General features: G+C 38.1%; 1 protein-coding gene across 18 annotated transcripts in view; it reads right to left on the bottom strand.

Moving 5' to 3' along the window:
- Positions 1 to 21,291, bottom strand: part of CEP112 (centrosomal protein 112) — a 556,597-nt gene that overhangs the window by 439,419 nt on the left and 95,887 nt on the right. The window lies entirely within an intron of this gene.

Consider the following 21,291-nt stretch of genomic DNA (forward strand, 5'->3'; position numbering starts at 1 on the left):
GAAACAATGGAAACCAGAGGACAAAGGAATAACATCTTAGAAGTGCTAAAAGAAAAATTCAGATGACTTAACTCATCACCAGTAGAACTGCACTAAAACAAATAGTAAAAGGTATTCTTAAAGATGAAAACTTAGAAACTCTGAAATGAAGGAAAGTACTAGAAATAGTATGTGAGCAGAGATACATAAAAGCCATTTTTATCTTCTCACAATTCCCCAAAACACAACTATTTAAAGATAATACAACAACCTCAAAAGTTAGGTTTCATAAGGTATTTAGAACTATGACAATAGCACAAGTGATTGTAGGGTTAAATTAGATTATACTGTTTTAAAGTTATTAGATTTATGAGGTGGAAATTAGAAAATGGGAAAAGTCCAGTGTAAGCGGCACAATATTGACACTAAAAATTGACTTTGATATGGTAAGGATGCATAATTTTAGCCCAAAAGCAACCAATAAAGAAAACATACAAAGGGAAAGTATAGCCAAGAAGTCAATAGAAAAATTAAAATAGAATAACAAAAAAATAACTAAAAATAAGGCAAGAAAGGAGCAACAGAGTAGTGAAAAATAAAAAAAGGGGGTACCAGTGGAAACGAACACCAACAAGGTAGATTAAACCTAACCATATCGATCAGTAACTATATTAAATTTAAATGGACTAAACACTCTAATTATAAGAGACTGTTAAAAAATTAGCAATGGGATCTTGAATGGGAATCATTATGGTGGATGAGAGGCATGAGGACTAGATTGCAGCTCCAACTCGGACAGACAGAGCAGTGTGCAGAGGCTTGCATCATGAATTTTAGCTCAAGAATGACTGCAAGAATGAACCAGGAACCCCGAGGGGACCCCCAGACCCTCTGAAGGAAGAGGACTGCTCCTGCAGGACGCGGGAGACACCCCAAATACTGTGAGTTCCCAAACTGCAGAAGTGGGAAAGGGAGACCCTCCATTCCCAAACACACACCCCCACTGGGAAAACTCAAGGTCTGGTTTGCAGGAGACATTTCCGACCTTACCCACAGCTGGGTCAATTTAGAGGGCTGAGTGAAATACAGGGGTAGAGGAAGTAGTAGGAAAGGCCCTGGGAGCTCGCTGGGTCCCCAAGCAGGCCATTCCTGCCTGGTACCACAGGGACCTTTTGCGAGGGCAGCTAGAGGCATAGGGGGAAATACCACAGAGAGAAGGAAGTCTCCAGCTGAACTTTGTAACAATTTGAACTGGGCGAGAAGGCTCTGGGCCAGAACTCAGAGAAAGGTGCAAACCCAGTGTGCAGACTCCACAGGCGGCGGGGTAAGAACCAAAGCCCTCTTCTTTTGCAGCTGGGAACTAGGTAGCCTGGGGCAAGTTCTCCAGCCCTGCTCACCCACTGCCTGGAAATAGACTCGGGGCTGCTAGGGGGACATGGTGGGGGTGAGACCAGCCCTGAAGACTGTGTGGGAGCTGGGTGAGAGCTGTGACTGCCAGCCTTCCCTCACTTCCCTGACAACCTGCATGACTCAGCAGAGGCAGCCATATTCCTCCTAGGTACACAACTCCATTGACCTGGGAACCTCACCCCTATCCCCCACAGCAGCCACAGTAAGAGCTGCCCAAGGAGAGTCTGAGCTCAGACATGCCTAGCCCTGCCCCCACCTGCTGGGCCTTCCCTATCCACACTGGTAGCTGAAGACAAAGGGCACATACTCTTGGGAGTTCTAGGGCCACGTCCACCACTGGTTCCTCTCCATAGTACCACAGCTGATGCTCTCTGGAAAGTGTCACCCTCTGGCAGGAGGCCAACCAGCACAAAAATAGAACTGTAAACCACTAAAGCTAAGAACCCTCACAGAGTCCATTTCACCCTCATGCCACCTCTACCAGAACAGGTGCTGGTATCCATGGCTGAGCAATTCATAGTTCACATCACAGGACTCTGTGCAGACAACCCCCAGTACCAGCCCGGAGCCAGGTAGACTCGCTGGGTGGCTAGACCCAGAAGAGAGATAACCATCACTTGCAGCTCAGCTCACAGGAAACCACATCCGTAGGAAAAGGGGGAGAATACTACATCAAGGGAATACCCCGTGGGAAAAAAGAATCTGAACAACAGCCTTCAGTCCTAGACTTTTCTCAGAGCCTACCCAAATGAGAAGGAATCAGAAAATCAACTCTGATAATATGACAAAACAAGGCTCTTTAACACCCATCAAAAAAATCACACTAGCTCACCAGCAATGGATCCAAACCAAGAAGAAATCCCTGATTTACCTGAAAAAGAATTCAGGAGGTTACTTATTAAGCCAATCAGGGAGGCATCAGAGAAAGGTGAAGCCCAATTCAAGGAAATCCAAAAAAACGATACAAGAAGTGAAGGGAGAAATATTTAAGGAAATAGATAGCATAAAGAAAAAACAATCAAAACTTCAGGAAAACATTGGACACACTTAGAGAAATGCAAAATGCTCTGCAAAGTCTCAGCAATAGAATAGAATTGAACAAAAAGAAGAAAGAAACTCAGAGCTTGACGACAAGGTCTTCTAATTAACCCAATCCAACAAAGACAAAGAAAAAAGAATAAGAAAATATGAACAAAGGCTCCAAGAAGCCTGGGATTATGTGAAACAACCAAACCTAAGAACAATCGGTATTCCTGAGGAAGAAGAGAAATCTAAAAGTGTGGAAAACATATTTGGGGGAATAATTGAGGAAAACTTCCCTGGCCTTTCTAGAGACCTGGACATCCAAATACAAGAAGCACAAAGAACACTTGGGAAATTAATCACAAAAAGATCATCACCTAGGCACACTGTCATCAAGTTGTATATTCTGGTTATTAGTCCATTGTCAGATGTATAGATTATGAAGATTTTCTCCCACTCTGTGGGTTGTCTGTTTACCCTGCTGACTGTTCCTTTTACCGTGCAAAAGCTCTTTAGTTTAATTAAGTCCCAACCATTTATCTTTGTTTTTGGGGTTCTTGTTCATGAAATCCTTGCCTAAGCCAATGTCTAGAAGGGATTTTCCAATGTTATCTTCTAGAATTTTTATAGTTTCAGTTCTTACATTAAGTCCTTAATCCATCTTCATTGATTTTCATATAAGGTGAGAGAAGAGGTTCCAGTTTCATTCTCCTACATGTGGCTAGCCAATTATCACAGCACCATTTGTTGAAAAGGGTGCCCCTTTCCCCACTTTATGTTTTTGTTTGCTTTGTTGAAGATCAGTGGGCTGTAAGTATTTGGGTTTATTTCTAGGTCCTCTATTCTGCTCTATTCTGTGCTTTTGTATCTTTTTTTTTTCTTTTCTTTTCTTTTTCTTTTTTTTTTTTTTGAGACGGAGTCTCACTCTGTTCCCATGCTGAAGTGCAGTGACACGATCTCAGCTCACTGCAACTCTGCATTCCTGGTTCAAGGGATTCTCCTGCCTCAGCCTCCCAAGTAGCTGGGACTACAGACATGCGCCACCACGCCCGGCTAATTTTTGTATTTTTAGTAGAGACGGGGTTTCATCAGATTGGCCATGATGGTCTTGAACTCCTGACCTCATGATCCACCTGCCTCAGCCTCCCAAAGTGCTGGGATTACAGGCGTGAGCCACTGTGCTCGGGAAGTTTTATATCTTTTATGTGGAGCATTTAGGCCATTTACATGCAATGTTAGTATTGAAATGTGAGGTACCATTGCATTCATCATGCTCTTTGTTGCCTGCATACTTTGGGTTTTTTTTAATTTTTGTTTTTGTTTTTTAACTTGTATTTTTGTTTTACAGGTCCTGTGTGATTTATGCTTTAAAGAGATTCTGTTTTGATATGTTTCTAGGATTTGTTTCAAGATTTAGAGCTCCTTTTAGCACTTCTTGTAGTGGTGGCTTGGTAGTGGCAAATTCTCTCAGCATTTGTTTGTCTGAAAAAGACTGTACTTGTCTTTCATATATGACGCTTAGTTTCACTGGATACAAAATTCTTGGCTGATAATTGTTTTGTTTGAGGAGGCTGAAGATAGGGCCCCAATCCCTTCTAGCTTGTAGGATTTCTGCTGAAACATACGAGGGGCCAACGAACATATGAAACATCACTAATCATCAGAGAAATGCAAATCAAAACCACAATGAGATGCAATTTCACACCAGTAAGAATGGCTATTACTAAAAGGACAAAAATAATAATAATAATACTTAACATACTGGCAAGGCTGCTAAGAAAAAGGAATGCTGCGGGGCACAGTGGCTCATGCCTATAATCCCAACACTTTGGGAGGCTGAAATGGGTGGATCACCTGAGGTCAGTAGTTCGAGACCAGCCTGATCAACATGGTAAAACCCCGTTTCTACTCTTGCATATGTATATCAGGATACACACACAAGGTTATTCATAGAATTATTATTTGTAAAGGCAAAAAATTAGAATAAAGTTTATCAAAAAAGGCAAGAAATATGACATTCATTAAATAGAAAACAGTGCAAACAAACCTATTACAACTATATGGCACAACAATGCCTCTAACATACTATTGAGCAAAAGAAGCAAGACATAAAAGAATATGAAAAGTTTAGTTCTCTTTGAACACAAACAAATGAAAAAACATTCCATGCTCATGGATAGGAAGAATGAATATTGTGAAAATAGCCATACTGCCCAAAGTAATTTATAGATTCAATGCTATCCCCATCAAGCTACCATTGACTTTTTTTTCACAGAATTAGAAAAAACTACTTTAAATTTCATATGCAACCAAAGAAGAGCCCATACAGCCAAGACAATCCTAAGCAAAAAGAACAAGGCTGGAGGCATCATGGCTACCTGACTTCAAACTATGCTACAAGGCTACATAACCAGAACGGCATGTTCCTGGTACCAAAACAGGTATATAGATCAACGGAACAGAACAGAGGCCTCAGAAATAACGCCACACATCTACAACCATCTGATCTTTGACAAACCCGAAAAAAACAAACAATGGGGAAAGGATTCCCTATTTAATAAATGGTGTTGGGAAAACTGGCTAGCCATAGGTAGAAAAATGAAACTGGACTCCTTCCTAACACCTCATATAAAAATTAACTCAAGATGGATTAAAGACTTAAACATAAGATCTAAAACCATAAAAACCCTAGAAGAAAACCTAGGCAATACCATTCAGGATATAGACATGGGCAAAGACCTCATGACTAAAACACCAAAAACAATGGAAACAAAAGCCAAAATTGACAAATGGGATCTAATTAAACTAAAGAGCTTCTGCCCAGCAAAAGAAACTATCATCGGAGTGAACAGGCAACCTACAGAAGGGCAGAAAATTTTTGCAATCTATCCATCTGACAAAGGGCTAATATCCAGAATCTACAAGGAACAACTTTACAAATTTACAAGAAAAAAAACAAACAACCCCATCAAAAAGTGGGTGAAGGATAGAAACAGACACTTCTCAAAAGAAGACGTTTATACGGCCAACAAACATACGAAGAAAAGCTCATCATCACTGGTCATTAGAGAAATGCAAATTAAAACTACAAGGAGATACCACCTCACACCAGTTAGAATGGCCATCATTAAAAAGTCAGGAAACAACAGATGCTGGGAGGATGTGGAGAAATAGGGACACTTTTACGCTGTTGGTGGGAGTGTAAATTAGTTCAACCATTATGGAAGACAGTGTGGAGATTCCTCAAGGATCTAGAACCAGAAATACCATTTGACCCAGCATTCCCATTACTGGGTATATACCCAAAGGATTATAAATCATTCTACTATAAAGACACACGAACATGTATGTTTATTGCAGCACTGTTCACAATAGCAAAGACTTAGAACCAACCCAAATGCCCATCAATGATAGACTGAATAAAGAAAATGTGGCACATATACACCATGGAATACTATGCAGCCATAAAAAAGGATAAGTTCGTGTCCTTTGCAGGGACATGGATGAAGCTAGAAACCATCATTCTCAGCAAACTAACACAAGAACAGAAAACCAAATACTGCATGTTCTTACTCATAAGTGGGAGTTGAACAATGAGAACACATGGACACAGCGAGAGGAACATCACACACTGGGGACTGTCAGGGGGTAGGGGGCTAGGGGAGGGATAGCATTAGGAGAAATACCTCATGTAGATGACAGGTTGATGGGTGCAGCAAATCACCATGGCAAGTGTATACCTATGTAACAAACCTGTACGTTCTGCACATGTATCCCAGAACTTAAAGTATAATAAAAGAAAAAGTAAAATAAAATAAAAAATAAAAATAAATAAAAAGTTTAGTTCTCTTCATATAAAGTTCAAAATCTGGTAAAATAAAAATATTTCAATTTTCAAAGATGCAGGTATTAATGCTAAAATCAATATTAAAACAAATAGGTGAAAATTATCATCAGAAAAATCAGAATAGTGGTTACTTCTAGGAAAGATGGAAGAGAATATGATTACAAATGGTCAGACAGCAGGCTTCTTAGGATATTGGCAATTATCTAATTCTTGCCTGGGTGGCATTTACAATGGCATTTCTTTGTACAATTATTTATCAAATTATGTGACATTATGCATATCTGAATGCTATGTTTCATATGAAATCTATAACAGTTCTGTCATTTATTATGTCAATAACTGTGGCTTTCTTTATCCTAGAGTTATTTAAATTATATATTTGACTAGCAGACTCACAGACAAAAAAAAAAAAAGGCCTAATTCCAAGCGCAGTGGCTCACGCCTGTAATCCCAGCACTCCGGGAGGCCGAGGCAGGTGGATCACAAGGTCAGGAGTTCAAGACCAGCCTGGCCAACATGGTGAAACCCTGTCTCTACTAAAAATACAAAAATTAGCCGGACATGGTGGCACGCATCTGTAGTCCCAGCTACTCGGGAGGCTGAGGCAGGAGAATCGCTTGAACCCAGGAGACAGAGATTATGGTGAGCCGAGATTGCGCCACTGCATTCCAGCCTTGGCAACAGAGCAAGACTCCATCTCAGGGGGAAAAAAAGGCCTACTTGGCATTACACATAATAAAGAAGCAACATCTCTTTTTAGGCAATAGATGGAAACATTCAATATGGGTGAAAAGAAAGGTCAAAGGAAATTTTCTATTTTATTTCACAAAAAGAGTAATTTTTTACTCCGGTTTCTCTTCAGATTGTATAAATCTTTCGCCTTTTACCAAAGGAGCAATTTCTACCATCTGTTCTCTGAAAAATTGACCTCTTCTTGTTGTGTTGTCTGTTCTTTCATTTTCAGTGAGAAAACTTTTCCAAATGTCATAATGTCAAAAAGCCTTTCTTCAGATTACTAAAAAAAGAAAGAAAGAAAGAAAGACCCGTTGCTTGATGATGCTCACTGTCACACAATTCTGTGATGTGGATATCAGAGAAAATGTGTTAGCAATTACAAAGGCAAGCAAGTCCAAGTATGTTTGTGAATGATAGGCTAAAGTTAAAATAAAGGATCACTGTCACTGAACATGTTTTCCCATAACATATGAGAAATATGCCCAAAATAAATTGAAAATTGTTAAGAACATCTTAAAATATTTAATATGTGGGTCAGGTGCGGTGCCTCATGCCTATAATCCTAGCACTTTGGGAGGCAGAAGCAGTGGATCACTTTAGGTCAGGAGTTCGAGACCAGCCTGGCCAACATGGCAAAACCCTGTCTCTACTAAAAACATAAAAATTAGCCAGATGTCATGGCGTGTGCCTGTAATCCCAGCTACTTGGGAGGCTGAGGAACAAGAATTGCTTGAACCCAGGAGACAGAGGTTGCAGTAAGCCAAGACTGCACCATCGTACTCCAGCCTGGGCGACAGAGCGAGACTCTGTCTCAAAAAAAAAAAAAAATTTTTATATGTGTATCTGTAGCCACCAAAACAAACCACTATAATTCTTTAACTCCAATAAAACTAGATATTAATATTAATATTAATATTAATTAGTAAATTAGGTTAAATAACCATTAATTCTATTAGTAATTTTACATATTTTACTCATGTTAACATCTAAGTATCTTCTGAACAATATGAATTTAAAATGGAAGTTGTATTTTATTAAATAGCTCCATTTCTAAAGGCTAAATATTTTAAGACTCACTAAAACTTCAACAAAATTAAATACTTTAATAAATCCTTCATGACTGATATGGTTTGGCTGTGTCCTCACCCAAATATCATCTTGAACTGTAGCTACCATCATTCCAATGTGTTGTGAGAGGGACCCAGTGAGAGGTAATTGAATCATGGGGAAGGATTTTCCTCGTGCTGTTCTCATGATAGTGAATAAGTCTCATGAGATCTGATGGTTTTATAAAGGGCAGTTTCCCTGCACATGCTCTCTTGCCTGCCACCATGTAAGATGTGCTTTTGCTCCTCTTTTGCCTTCTGCCATGATTGTGAGGCCTCCCAGCCATACAGAACTGTGAGTCCATTAAACCTCTTTTTCGTTATAAATTACCCAGTCTTGGGTATGTCTTTATTAGCAGCATGAGAACGGACTAATACAATGACACAGATAAACTCTATAATCTGTAAAAAATTGGTATCAATTAATTATCTCCAGACTTACTGGATCCTTTAATATAAGTATTTCAAACTCCTAAATTTTTATTTTATACCATTAAGAACTGACTAATGAGGTCAGGCGCGGTGGCTCACGCCTGTAATTCTAGCACTTTGGGAGGCCAAGGTGGGCAGACTGCCTGAGCTCAGGAGTTCGAAACCAGCCCGGGCAACACGGTGAAACCCCGTCTCTACTGTAAATACAAAAAAATTAGCCAGGCGTGGTGGTGAGTGCCTGTAGTTCCAGCTACTCGGGAGGCTGAGGCAGGAGAATTGCTCGAACCTGGGAGGCAGAGGTTGCAGTGAGCCAAGATTGTGCCACTGCACTCCACACTCCAGCCTGGGTGACTGAGCGAGACTCCATGTCCAAAGACAAAACAACAAAAAAAGAACTAACATAGATTACTATCAGTATTTACAGCAAAACCTCTGAAAGAGATCTAATATTTAAATAGAAAAATAAAATTTTTAAATAGACAAAAAAGAGGTAATTTTTTGTTATGTTGGAAGGTGAAAGGCTTTTGTAAGCATAATACAAAAACCAGAAGCCTAGAGAAAAGGCTGACAGATGCAACTATTTAAAAGGAAACTTCTCATGCATATCAAAACTACCAGGAGATATCATTTCAGTCCAGTTAAAATGCCTTTTATCCAAAAGATAGGTAATAACAAATGCTGGCAATGATGTGGAAAAAAGAGAACCCTTGTACACTGGGTTGGTGGGAATGTAAATTAATACAACCACAATGGAAAACAGTTTGGAGGTTCCTCAAAAGAAAATAAAAATAGAACTACCAATCCACCAATCCCACTCCAAGGTATATACTCCAAAAAAAGAAAATCAGCATATTGAAGAGATATTTGCACTCCCATGTTTATTGCAGCACTAATAACAATAGTGAAGATTTAGAAGCAAGCTAAGTATCCATCAGCGGATGAATGGATAAGGAAAATGTGGTACACATACACAATGGAGTACTACCCAGCTATTAAAAAGAATGAGATCCTGTCATTTCCAACAACATGGATGGAACTGGAGGTTACTATGTTCAGTGAAATAAGCCAAGCACAGAAAGACAAACTTCATATGTTCTCACTTATTTGTGGGAGCTAAAAATTAAAAACAATTGAACTCATGGAGATAGAGAGTAGAATGATGGTTATTAGGGGCTGGAAAGGGTAGTGGGAAGGCAGGGGGGGAGTTGGGATGGTTAATGGGTATAAAAAGTAGAAAGAACGAAGAAACCTATAATTTGCTGGAACAATAAGGTGACTACAGTCAAAAAAAAAATTTAATTGTACATTTTAAAACAACTAAATGAGTATAGATTGTTTGTAACACAAAGGATAAATGCTTAAGATGATGGATACCCCATTTACCCTGATGTGATTATTATGCATTGCAGGCCTGTATCAAACTATATCATGTAACCCACAAATATATACACCTACTATGTACGCACAAAAATTCAAAATTAATTTTAAAAAGTTAAAAATAGAAGAAACCTTCTCTACACTAAAAAGTAGCACAAATCAAAAGATATTCACAGAGAAAAATATTTGTAAGACATACAAAAAAGAAGTGATACTTTAACATGCAAATTGCTCGAGTGTTAATAACAAAATGGAAAAAGAGGCATTCTCTATACCATTAATGTTAACTTAAATAGACATAACCCTTCTTAAGTTTTACTGAAATATAATTTATATATCATAAAATTCACACATTTACACAATACAAATCAAAGGTTTTTAATATAACAGAGAGTTATACAACCGTTAGCACAATCTAATTTTAGAACATTTTAATCATCCTAAAAAGAAACTCTATATCCACTAGCCAATACTCCATACACTCCCATGCCTGCAGCCCTATGCAGACATAACCTTATTTTAAGGACAACTTGTCAACGTCAATCTAAAATGCAAATGTGCCATCCTGTGACTGAGCCATTCCATTTCACATCATTTATTCTGCAAGAAAAGACACATAATACACAAAGATATGCATAGGGGTATTCTTGAAATACCATTTGTTATAGAAAAATACTCTAAACAGCCTACATGCATCAATAGCAAATTATATTCATAAAACATGATGTATCAGTAAAGTAAAATTTATGTAATTATGAATAAGAATGGGGTGATATTTCTGATATGGAAAAAATCATCAGAATATATATGTCAGTCAAAAAGCAATGAAATGGGCTGAGCACGGTGGCTCACGCCTGTAATCCCAGCACTTTGGGAGGCCGAGGCAGGCGGATCACGAGGTCAGGAGTTTGAGACCAGCCTGACCAACCTGGTGAAACCCCGTCTCTACTAAAGATACAAAAAATAGCCGGGCATGGTGGCGCACACCTGTAATCCCAGCTACTCAGGAGGCTGAGGTAGGAGAATTGCTTAAATCCGGGAGGTGGAGGTTGCGGTGAGCTGAAACTACGCCACTCTACTCCAGCCTGGGTGACGACAGAGCGAGACTCCGTCTCAAAAAAAAAAAAAAAAAAGCAATGAAATGGTCTATATACAGTATATGATCTAATTTTACTTAAAAAGAAATAATCCTAGAGAATTTTAAAGAGAATACCCATTAAATTTTCAGCAATAATTATCTCTGAAGAATGAGTTGAGAAAGGGATGATTAAATACTTGAGAGCTAATATTTAATTTTAAATAAAGTTGACTCACTTAAAAGAATGCTATTTATTGTTTTAAAAATATTACCCAGCAACAATAAAGGCATTTTTAGATGAGAACATGCACAAGAGTTGTTTTATAGGGACATGTAAGGCTCTAACAAACTTCGAAACAGAACAGCATTTATCCTCATGCCAACAATTAAATGTTGAATAAAAGGGATTTAAGCAAGTAGACATAAGATTTTCTTTTCTTTTTTTTTTTTTTTTTTTTTTTTTTTTTTTTTTTTTTTTTGAGAAGGAGTCTTGTGCTGTCACCCAGGCTGGAGTGCAGTGGCGTGATCTCGGCTCACTGCAAGGTCTGCCTCCCGGGGTCATGCCACTCTCCTGCCTCAGCCTCCTGAGTAGCTGGAACTACAGGCACCCGCCACCATGCCCGAGTAATTTTTTGTATTTTTTTTAGCAGAGACGGGGTTTCACCATTTTAGCCAGGATGGTCTCAATTTCCTGACCTCGTGATCTGCCCACCTAAAGTGCTGGGATTACAGGCGTGAGCCACCGTGCCTGGCCATACCAATTTTCTTAAGGAAAACATATGTTTATAGAACACATAGAGAAAAGAAAAAAAAACGTAAATATATTACCAGTATTTTTTATTTCTAGGTGTTGATTCTATAGGTGATTTTATTTCCCTCCTTACATATGTCTCTATTTCCCAAAATGTCTTTAATAAAAATCTACATAATTTATTTTATAATCAGACATGCTACTTTAAAAGATAGATGAAACTAAGATAGTTTTTACACAGGGGCAAATCAGCAGATACTTTTAAATATTGTGCAATGGAGAAAAATATGATAAAAAAACTTCATCAAAATAAGTCAGAAATGACTGTAATTGCACAAAGGATTATTTTAGAAAAATGTACACTGAATATATTTTAATATATGGAATAAGTTTATGATTACATGCAAACTTCTCAATGATGCCTCAAATATTTTTATAGTATGCCCAAAAGAAAAACAGAAACATAAGGATTTAGGAAAAAATAAAGTCAAACACATTTAAAAATGAATTTCTGATGCAATGCATGATAGCTTTAAATGTTTTTTCTTTGAAAACATATGTGGGTGGCATTGGTATGCTGACTCCTGCCCCAAGTTGTCATCAACAAAATTTTTAAGTGATGATTTCCTTTCAATTCATTTAATTATTTATGGTAAGCAGTCTCAACAGTAAGAATTAATACAAAATAAAATTAAAAGAAAAAATAGTTGGGAATGACTCAAAATGATTTTTATAATTCATGAATGACAATTTTTAGAAAAAGAAATTCAAAACAAGAGCTCAAAGGACAAATATGCTTTTTAAAATGTCATTTGTTTTTATTTCAACAGTTTTTGTAACACCAGGATTATACAAGAAAGAAAAGCCTGAGTCTAATGTCAGCAAGATGGCAGACTAGGACTTTCAAGCCCTCGTCCCTCCACAGAAAAATCAATTTGAACATAAACATGCACAAAAATACCTTCATAAGAGCTAAGTAAACAAGGTGAAATATTACAGCACGAAATAGGAAAAGACATAACGCAGAATGTAGAAAGGACAGTTTTACTCAGAAGTCCGAGGCTGCAGGTTTTAAAATACTCACATCACCCCTCCCCCAACTCCAGACAGTAAAGCGTGGAGAGACCCTCCACTTGGGAGGAGGGAAGAAAGGTGAGCACTAGACTTTACCTCAGACCTCAATACCAGGTCAGTCCCAGTAAAACGTAGGATCAGGCAGGACTCCTCAGCCCTAGACTCCCAGCCAGTACCCCAGGACTGACCCTGCAAATCCACCCTGGTACAAGGAAAAATCTCACAGCCCCAGGCTCCAGACTGGCCCAGTAGATTTAGTCCCTGGGTCCACCTCACCCCACCCCATGCTGATACCAGCAGCCACAGCATCCAAACTAACCCTAGTGCTGGACTGACCCCAGCAGCCTAAACTTCAGCTCCACCCCAGAGCCAGACCAGCCCCTACAGACTAAGGTTCCTGGCTAGCCTCTGTAGCCCCAGGCTCCAGGTCAGCTCCCAAGACCCAAGACTCCAGGCCAGTACCCACAGACTGAGCCTCTAGGCCTAATTTGGCACAATGCAAGATCCCACAGCCCCAGGTTCCAAAGCCAGCCCAGCAGACTCAGTCTCTGGACTCACCACATTGCCAGGCGGGCCCAGTGACCTTGGGCTCCAGACTATTCACAGCACGAGGCTGGCCCCGACAACTTCAGGTTTCAGGCCTACCCAGGAACCAGGCCAGCCTCCAGAATCCCTAGTCATCAGGCCAGCACTCACAGACTCAGCCTCCATGCTGGCCCATGTGAATATAGGCTCCAGACATACCCAATGTCAGGCCAGCCCATCTGGCCCCAGGCTCCAAGCATAACGCAGGATTCAGAGCCAGGTCAGCCAACACAACCCCATGCTTTAGACCCACCCAACCTCCCAGTCAACACCTCTGGCCCAGACTCCAGGTCGGCCACTGGGGCCCCAATCTCCATATTAACCCCTGTGGTCCCATACACCAGGAGACTCAGGGTCTAGACCTGACTAACAGACCCAGGGTCCAGGCTCATCCCAATAAACTGTGGTGCCAAGCCAGCCCTCAGAAAATAAGATTCCAGGTCCATCCCTACAGAATCGTGACCCAGGCCCACCCCTGCACACTCAGGCCCCTGGCCTGTCCCAGTGGACCAAAGAACCAGGTCCATCCCAGAACCTGTCTGGCCCCTGCAGATTCAGGCTTAAACCCACCCTAGAACCAGGTCAGCCCTTGCAGACCTAGGCTTCAGGCTAGCCCTGGTGGATACATATTTCAGGCTTACCATGCAGACCCAAACTCCAAGCTCACTCCCATGGACCAAAGCAACACATCTACCCAGTGGATCCAGGCTCCAAGCTCAAACATGAGGACCAAGATACCAGGCCCACCCACTTTCTGACCCTGCCTGGGGACTGTAGGAGAGAGCCCACCAATAGGCCAAACAGCCTGCCCAGAATCTCTGGATAGGCTCAATGATGACTGGCTTTCTCAAATGAAGCCAGTCTACAAAGACTATAATAATTTCCTACTTCTTCAAATGTGCAGACACCAACATAAAGCAACAAGCAACATAAAAAACCAAGGAGACATAACCCCAGCAAAAGAAAATAATCTCCCAATAGCTGACCCCAAAGAAATGAAAATATATAAACTGCCTGACAAATAATTCACACTAATTGTTTTAAGGAAGCTTAGTGAGCTTCAAGAAAATACAGAGAAATAATTTATTGAAATCAGAAAAACAGTAAGTGTATAAAATGAGAAATTTAACAGAGAAATTTTTTAAAAAATCAAATTCTGGAGCTGCAAAATATAACGAATGAAAAGAAAAATATAACAGCATTCACAACTGAATTGATCAAGCAAAAGAAAAAATTCAGTAAACTCAAATATACAGGTTATTAGAAAATATGCAGTCAGAGAAGAAAAAGGAAAAAGACTGGAAAGGAATGACGAAAGTTTACAGGACGTATGGGACAGGATCAAAAGAGAAAATATTCAAGTTATAGGAGCTAAAGAAGAAAAAGAGAGACAAAGGTGTAGAAAGTTTATTTAAACAAATAATAGCTAAAAACTTTCCAAATTGAGGGAAAGATATATATATCCTGGTACAAAAAGGTCAAAAGTCTCCAATCTGATTTAATTCAAGCAAGACTATACCAAGCCATGTTATAATCAAACTGTCAAATATAAAGAACAAATGGAAGATTCTGAAAATATCAAGAGAAAAGCAAATTATATACAAGAGACTTCCAATAAGACTAGCAGCGGATTTCATGGAGGAAATCTTACAGTCCAGAAAAGAGTAGGATGATATATTCCAAGTACTGAAAGACAATAACTGCCAACCAAGAATATTGTGAGTGGCAAAGCAGTCTTTCAGAAATAAAGAAAAGTTAAAAATGTACCAAGACACAAAAAAGCCTTAGGGAGTTCATGACCACTAGACTTGTCTTACAAAAATGCTCAAGTGAAATCTTGATGCTCAAAGAAGAAGACACTAATGAATAACAAAAAATACATATATAAGGATAAAACTCACCAGTAAAAGTAAGGAAACAATCAAACACAGAATAGTCTAATAATATAATGTTGTGGAAATGACTTATATCTTTAGTATGAAGATATTATATTATTTAAATATAATAGCCACAATAATTTCTTTCTATACAATATAAAAAGATGTAAATTGTGTCATCAAAAAATGAAACAGAGTAAAATGTAGTTTTTATATGTGATAAATCAAGGTTATTATCAGTTTAAAATAGCCTGTCATGAAAATAAGATGTTTTATGTAAGCCTCGTAGTAATCACAAAGCAAAAACCTACAATAGTTGCACGAAACATAAAAAGAAAGGATTCAAAGCATACCACTACAGAAATTCATCAAATCACAAAGAAAGATAACAAGACGGAAAGGAACAAATGTTCTATAAAACAACCAGAAAACAAATTACAAAACAGAAGTAGCAAGTCTTTACTTATGAATACTTATGTTGAATACAAATGGATTAAATTCTCTAATCAAAAGACAGAATAACTGAATGGATTAAAACAAAATTCAACTATATGCTTCCTATAAGAAATTCATTTCATGTTTAAGAACCTACATAGACTGAAAGTGAAGGAAGAGGAAAAGATATCTCATGCAAACGGAAATGGAAAGAGCGAGGGTAGAAATACATCAGATAACACTGACTTAAAATCAAAATTATAAAATGAGATACAGGTCATTATACAGTGACAAAGGGCTCAAGTCATCAAAAGGATATACCAATTATAAATATATATGCCCCCAAAGTAACATCACCTAAATATATAAAGCAAATATTCATAGATATAAAAGGAGAGAAGGAGTGTAATACAATAATAGTAGGGGACTTTAAGACCACAATTTCAGCAACGGACGGGTTACCCAGAAAGAAAATTAATAAGGAAACATCAGATTTGGTCTATTCTTTAGTGCAAATAAACCTAAAAGAGATATACAGATATACAAAATGTACCATTCAGTGGCCACAGAATACACATTCTTCTCAACCAAATGTGAAATATTCTTCAGCATAGATCATATGTTAGTTCACAAAAGAAATCTTCACAAATTTAAGAAGACTGAAATCATATCAAGTATCTTTTCTGACCACATGTTTAATACTAGAAATCAGTAACAAGAGGAATTTCAGAAAATTGACAAATACATGGAAATTAAATAACACACTCTTGAACAGCTACTATGTCAAAGAAGAAATTAAAAGAGAAATTTAAAAATATCTACAGACAAATGAAAATAAAAACACAACATACAAAAACTTATGGGATACAGCAAAAGCAGTTCTAAGAAAGAAGTGAATAGCAATAAATGCCTACATCAAAACAGGAGATCTCAAATAAACAAGTTAATGTTACACCTAAATAACTTCTAAAAGAACAATCTAAGTCCAAAGTTCACGGAAGGAAGGAAATCATAAAGATCAGAGCAGAAATAAATGAAATATAGACTAGAAAAACAATAGAAAAGGTCAGTAAAATTAAGAGTTAGTTATTTGAAAAGATAAACAAAATTGACAAAACTTTAGCTAGACTAAGAAAAAAATAAGAGAAGACAAATAAGTAAAATAAGAAATGAAAGAGATGTTAGAATTGATGCCACAGATATACAAAGGATCATGAAAGACTACTATGAGTAATTATACGTCAACAAATTAGATAGCCTACAAGAAAGGAATAAATTCCTGGACACACAGAACGTATGATGACTGAATCATGAAGAAATAAAAAAGCTGAAGAAATCAATAATAAGTAAGGTGACTGAAGCATTAATTTATGTATTTACTTTTTTTTTTTTTTGAGATGGGAGTCTTGCTCTATCACCCAGGCTGGAGTGCAGTAGTGCGATCTTCTCACTGCAACCCCCACCTCCCAGGTTCAAGCGATTCTCCTGCCTCAGCCTCCCAAGTAGCTGGGATTACAGGTGCACACCACCACACCCAACTAATTTTTGTATTTTTCATAGAGATGGGGTTTCACCATGTTGGCAAGGCTAATCTCAAACTGCTGACCTCGGGTTATCTGCCCACCTCAGCCTCCCAAAGTGCTGGGATTACAGGTGTGAGCCACCGAGTCCGGCCTTGAAGCATTAATTTAAACACACACACACACACACACACACACACACACAGATACACACACACACAACATATGCCCAGGACCTGATGGCTTCACTGTTGAATTCTACCAAACATTGAAAGACCTAATACCAATCCTCCTCAAACTCTTCCAAAAAAAACAGAATACTTCCAAACTCATATTATGAGGCCAACTTTACACTGACACCAAAACTACACAAGAAAACAACAAGAAAGGAAAATTATAGGCCAATATTAAGGATGAAGATAGATGCAAAAGTCCTCAACAAAATATTAGCCAACTGAATTCAACAGCACACTCAGAAGAGCATTCACCATGATCAAGTGGAATTCATCCCAAGAATATAAAGATACTTTAACATATGCAAATCTATACATGTTGTACACCAATTAACAGAATGAAGGATAAAAACCATATAATCATCTCAGTAGATGTGGAAAAAGCATTTACAAAATTCAACATATTTTCATAATAAAAACAACAAATTAGGTATAGAAGAAATGTACCTCAATACAATAAAGGCCATACATGAAAAACCCATTGATAACAATATATTCAACAGTGAAAAACTGAAAGCTTTTCCTCTAAGATCAGAAATGAGACAAAGATGTCCACTCTCACTACTTCTTTTCAACATAGTACTGGTGGTCCTAGCCAGAGTATTACACAAGGGAAATAAATAAAAGGGTGGCCAGGCACAGTGGCTCATGCCTGTAATCAATCCCAGCACTTTGGGGCGCTGAGGCAGGCAGATTACTTGAGGTCAGGAATTCAAGACAAGCCTGGACAACATGGTGAAACCTTGTCTCTACCAAAAAAATAAAATTATATATATATATGGCACACAGTGGCAAATGCCTGTAATGCCAGCTACTGGGGAGGCTAAGGCAGGAGAATTGCTTGAACCCGTGAGACGTAGGCTGCAGTGAGCTGAGATTGCACCACTGTACTCCAGCCTAAGCAACAGAGCATGACTGTCTCCTAAATAAATAAATAAATTGTATCCAAATTGGAAAGGAACGAGTGAAATGGTCTCTATTTACAGACGATATGATCTTATATGTAAAAAAAAAATTTTTAAAGACTCCACCAAAATGCTGGAACTAATAAATGAATTCACTAAAGTTGCAGAATACAAAATCAACATACAAAAATCAGTAGCCATTTTATACACTGACAATGAACTATACAAAATCAAGAAAACAATCCCTCTCTTACTAGGTACCAAAAAAAAAAAACCACTTAGAAATAAATTTGATCAAGGAGATTAAAGACCAGTATAATGAAAACTGTAAAACACTGATAAAAGAAATTAAAGAAGATACAAATAAATGGAAAGATATCTCATGTTCATGAACTGGAAGAACTAATAATGGTTAAAATGTCCATGCTATCCAAAGCAATCTATATATTTCATGCAATCCCTATCAAAATTCCAATGGCATTTTTCACAGATATAAAGAAAACCCTAAAATTTATATGAAACTAAAAAGACCCTGAGTATCCAAGGCAATTTTGAGCAAAATGAACAAAGGTGAAGGCATCACACTACCTGACTTCAAAATACACTATAAAGCTACAGCAATCAAAAGAGCACAGTAACTGGCATAAACCAGACACACAGACCTAATGAAACAGAACAGGGAACCCAGAAATAAACCCATACATTTAGTGTCAACTGATTTTCATTATTATTATTTTTATTTATTTATTTATTTTGAGATGGAGTCTTGCTCTGTCACCCAGGCAGGAGTTCGGTGACACAATCTTGGCTCACTGCAACCTCTGCCTCCCAGGTTCAAGCGATTCTCCCGCCTCAGCCTCCTGAGTAGCTGGGATTACAGGCATGCCCTACCACACCCGGCTAATTTTCGTATTTTTAGTAGGGATGGGGTTTCACCATGTTGGCCAGGCTGGTCTCAAACTCCTAATCTCAAGTGATCCGCCCACCTCAGCCTCCCAAAGTGCTCAATTACAGGCGTGAGCCACCATGCTTGGCCAGGTCAACTGATTTTTGACAAAGATGCCAAGAACACACAATGGGGAAAGACAGTGTCTTCAATAAATGATGCTTGGAAAACTGGATATCCAACATGCAGAAGAATGAAATTAGACCCTTATCTCACACCATATACAAAAATCAATTTAAAACAGAGACTTAAATGTGAGACCTGACATTTTAAAACTACTATAAGAGAAATAGGGGAAAAGCTCCATGACATTGCTCTGGGCAATGATGTTTTGGATATGAACCGAAAAGCATAGTCAACAAAAGAAAAAATAGACAAATGAGATTATATCAAACTAAAAAGCTTCTGCATAGCAAAGGAAACAATCAACAGAGTAAAAAGACAGCCTACACAATGAGAAAAATATCTGCAAGCCATATATCTAATAAGGGGTTAACATCCAAAATATATATGGAACTCAAACAACTCAATGGTAAGAACACTGATAACCTGATTTTAAAATGGGCAAAGGATCTGAATAGACATTCCTCAAAAGAAGACACGCAAATAGCCACCAGATATATGAAAAACTGCCCAACAATCCTAATCATCAGAGAAATGCTGACTAAAACAATACTGAGATATCACGTCACACCTATTAGAACGGCTATCAACAAAAAGAAAAAAGATCAGTATTGGAGGGGATGTGGAGAAAAAAGAACCCTTGCCCAGTGTTGGCAGTAATGTAGATTAGTGCAGCCATTATAGAAAAACAGTACGAGGGTTCCTTGAAAAATTAAAAATAGAACTACTACATGATCCAGCAATCTCACTATTAGGTATAAATCCAAAGGAAATGAAATTGCTATATTGAAGAGCTATCTGCACCCCCATGTTCACTGCAGCAATAGCCAAGATATAGAATCAATATAAAGTGTCCATCAACAAATAAATGAAAAAAATGTGATATATATATACACATACACACACACACATACACACACACACACAATGAAATGTTATTCAGTTTTTAAAAAGAAGGAAATCTTGTCATTTAGTACAACATGGATGAACCTAGAGAACACGATGTTAAGTGAAATAAGCCAGGCACAGAAAGGCAAATACCACATGATCTCACTTATATGTGGATTCTAAAAAAGGTGAACTCACAAAAGTAGAGAAATGGTGGTTATGAGGCCAGGCGACAAGGAGTGGAGTTGGGAGATACTGGTCAAAGGATACAAAATTTAAGTTAGATGAGAGAAATAAGTTCTAGAGATCTATTGTACAGCATAGTGACTTTAGTTAATAACAATGGATTGTATTTCAAAAATCACTATGAGAGTACATTTTAAGTATTCTCATTACAAAAAATAATGATAAGTCTGTGAGGTGATTCATATATCAAGCTCAATTTAGCCATTTGACAATGTATACATATTTCAAAACATCATGTTGTACACAATAAACATCTACAATTTTGTCCAGGTGTGGTGGCTCATGCCTATAATCCTAATGCTTTGAGAAGTCAAGGTAGGAGGAGGATCACTTGAGGCCAACAGCTCAAGACCAGCCTGGGAAAAACAGTAAGATCCCATCTCTACCAAAAAAAAAAAATTTTAATTAGCTGGACATGGTGGCACAGCTGTAGTCCTGGCTACTCAGGAGGCTGAGGTGGGAGGACTGCTTGATCCCAGTGAGCTCTGATCACACCACTGCACTCCAGCCGGACAAAAGATAGAGACTCTATCTCTGGAAAAACAAAAACAAAAAACAAAACAGAAAGATGAACCCTGCCTACCATGCATCATGTTTTATATTTGTTTCAAGTGCAACCTCTTCCTAGAATATACCATTATTTTAACTAAAACCTGAAAACCTAGATTACATAAAATATTAAAACTGTATTATCAATGGGTTTATCAGCAATATCTCATTC

The sequence above is a fragment of the Homo sapiens genome, chromosome 17 (genome assembly GCF_000001405.40).
Source record: "Homo sapiens chromosome 17, GRCh38.p14 Primary Assembly".
Taxonomy (NCBI): Eukaryota; Metazoa; Chordata; class Mammalia; order Primates; family Hominidae; genus Homo; species Homo sapiens.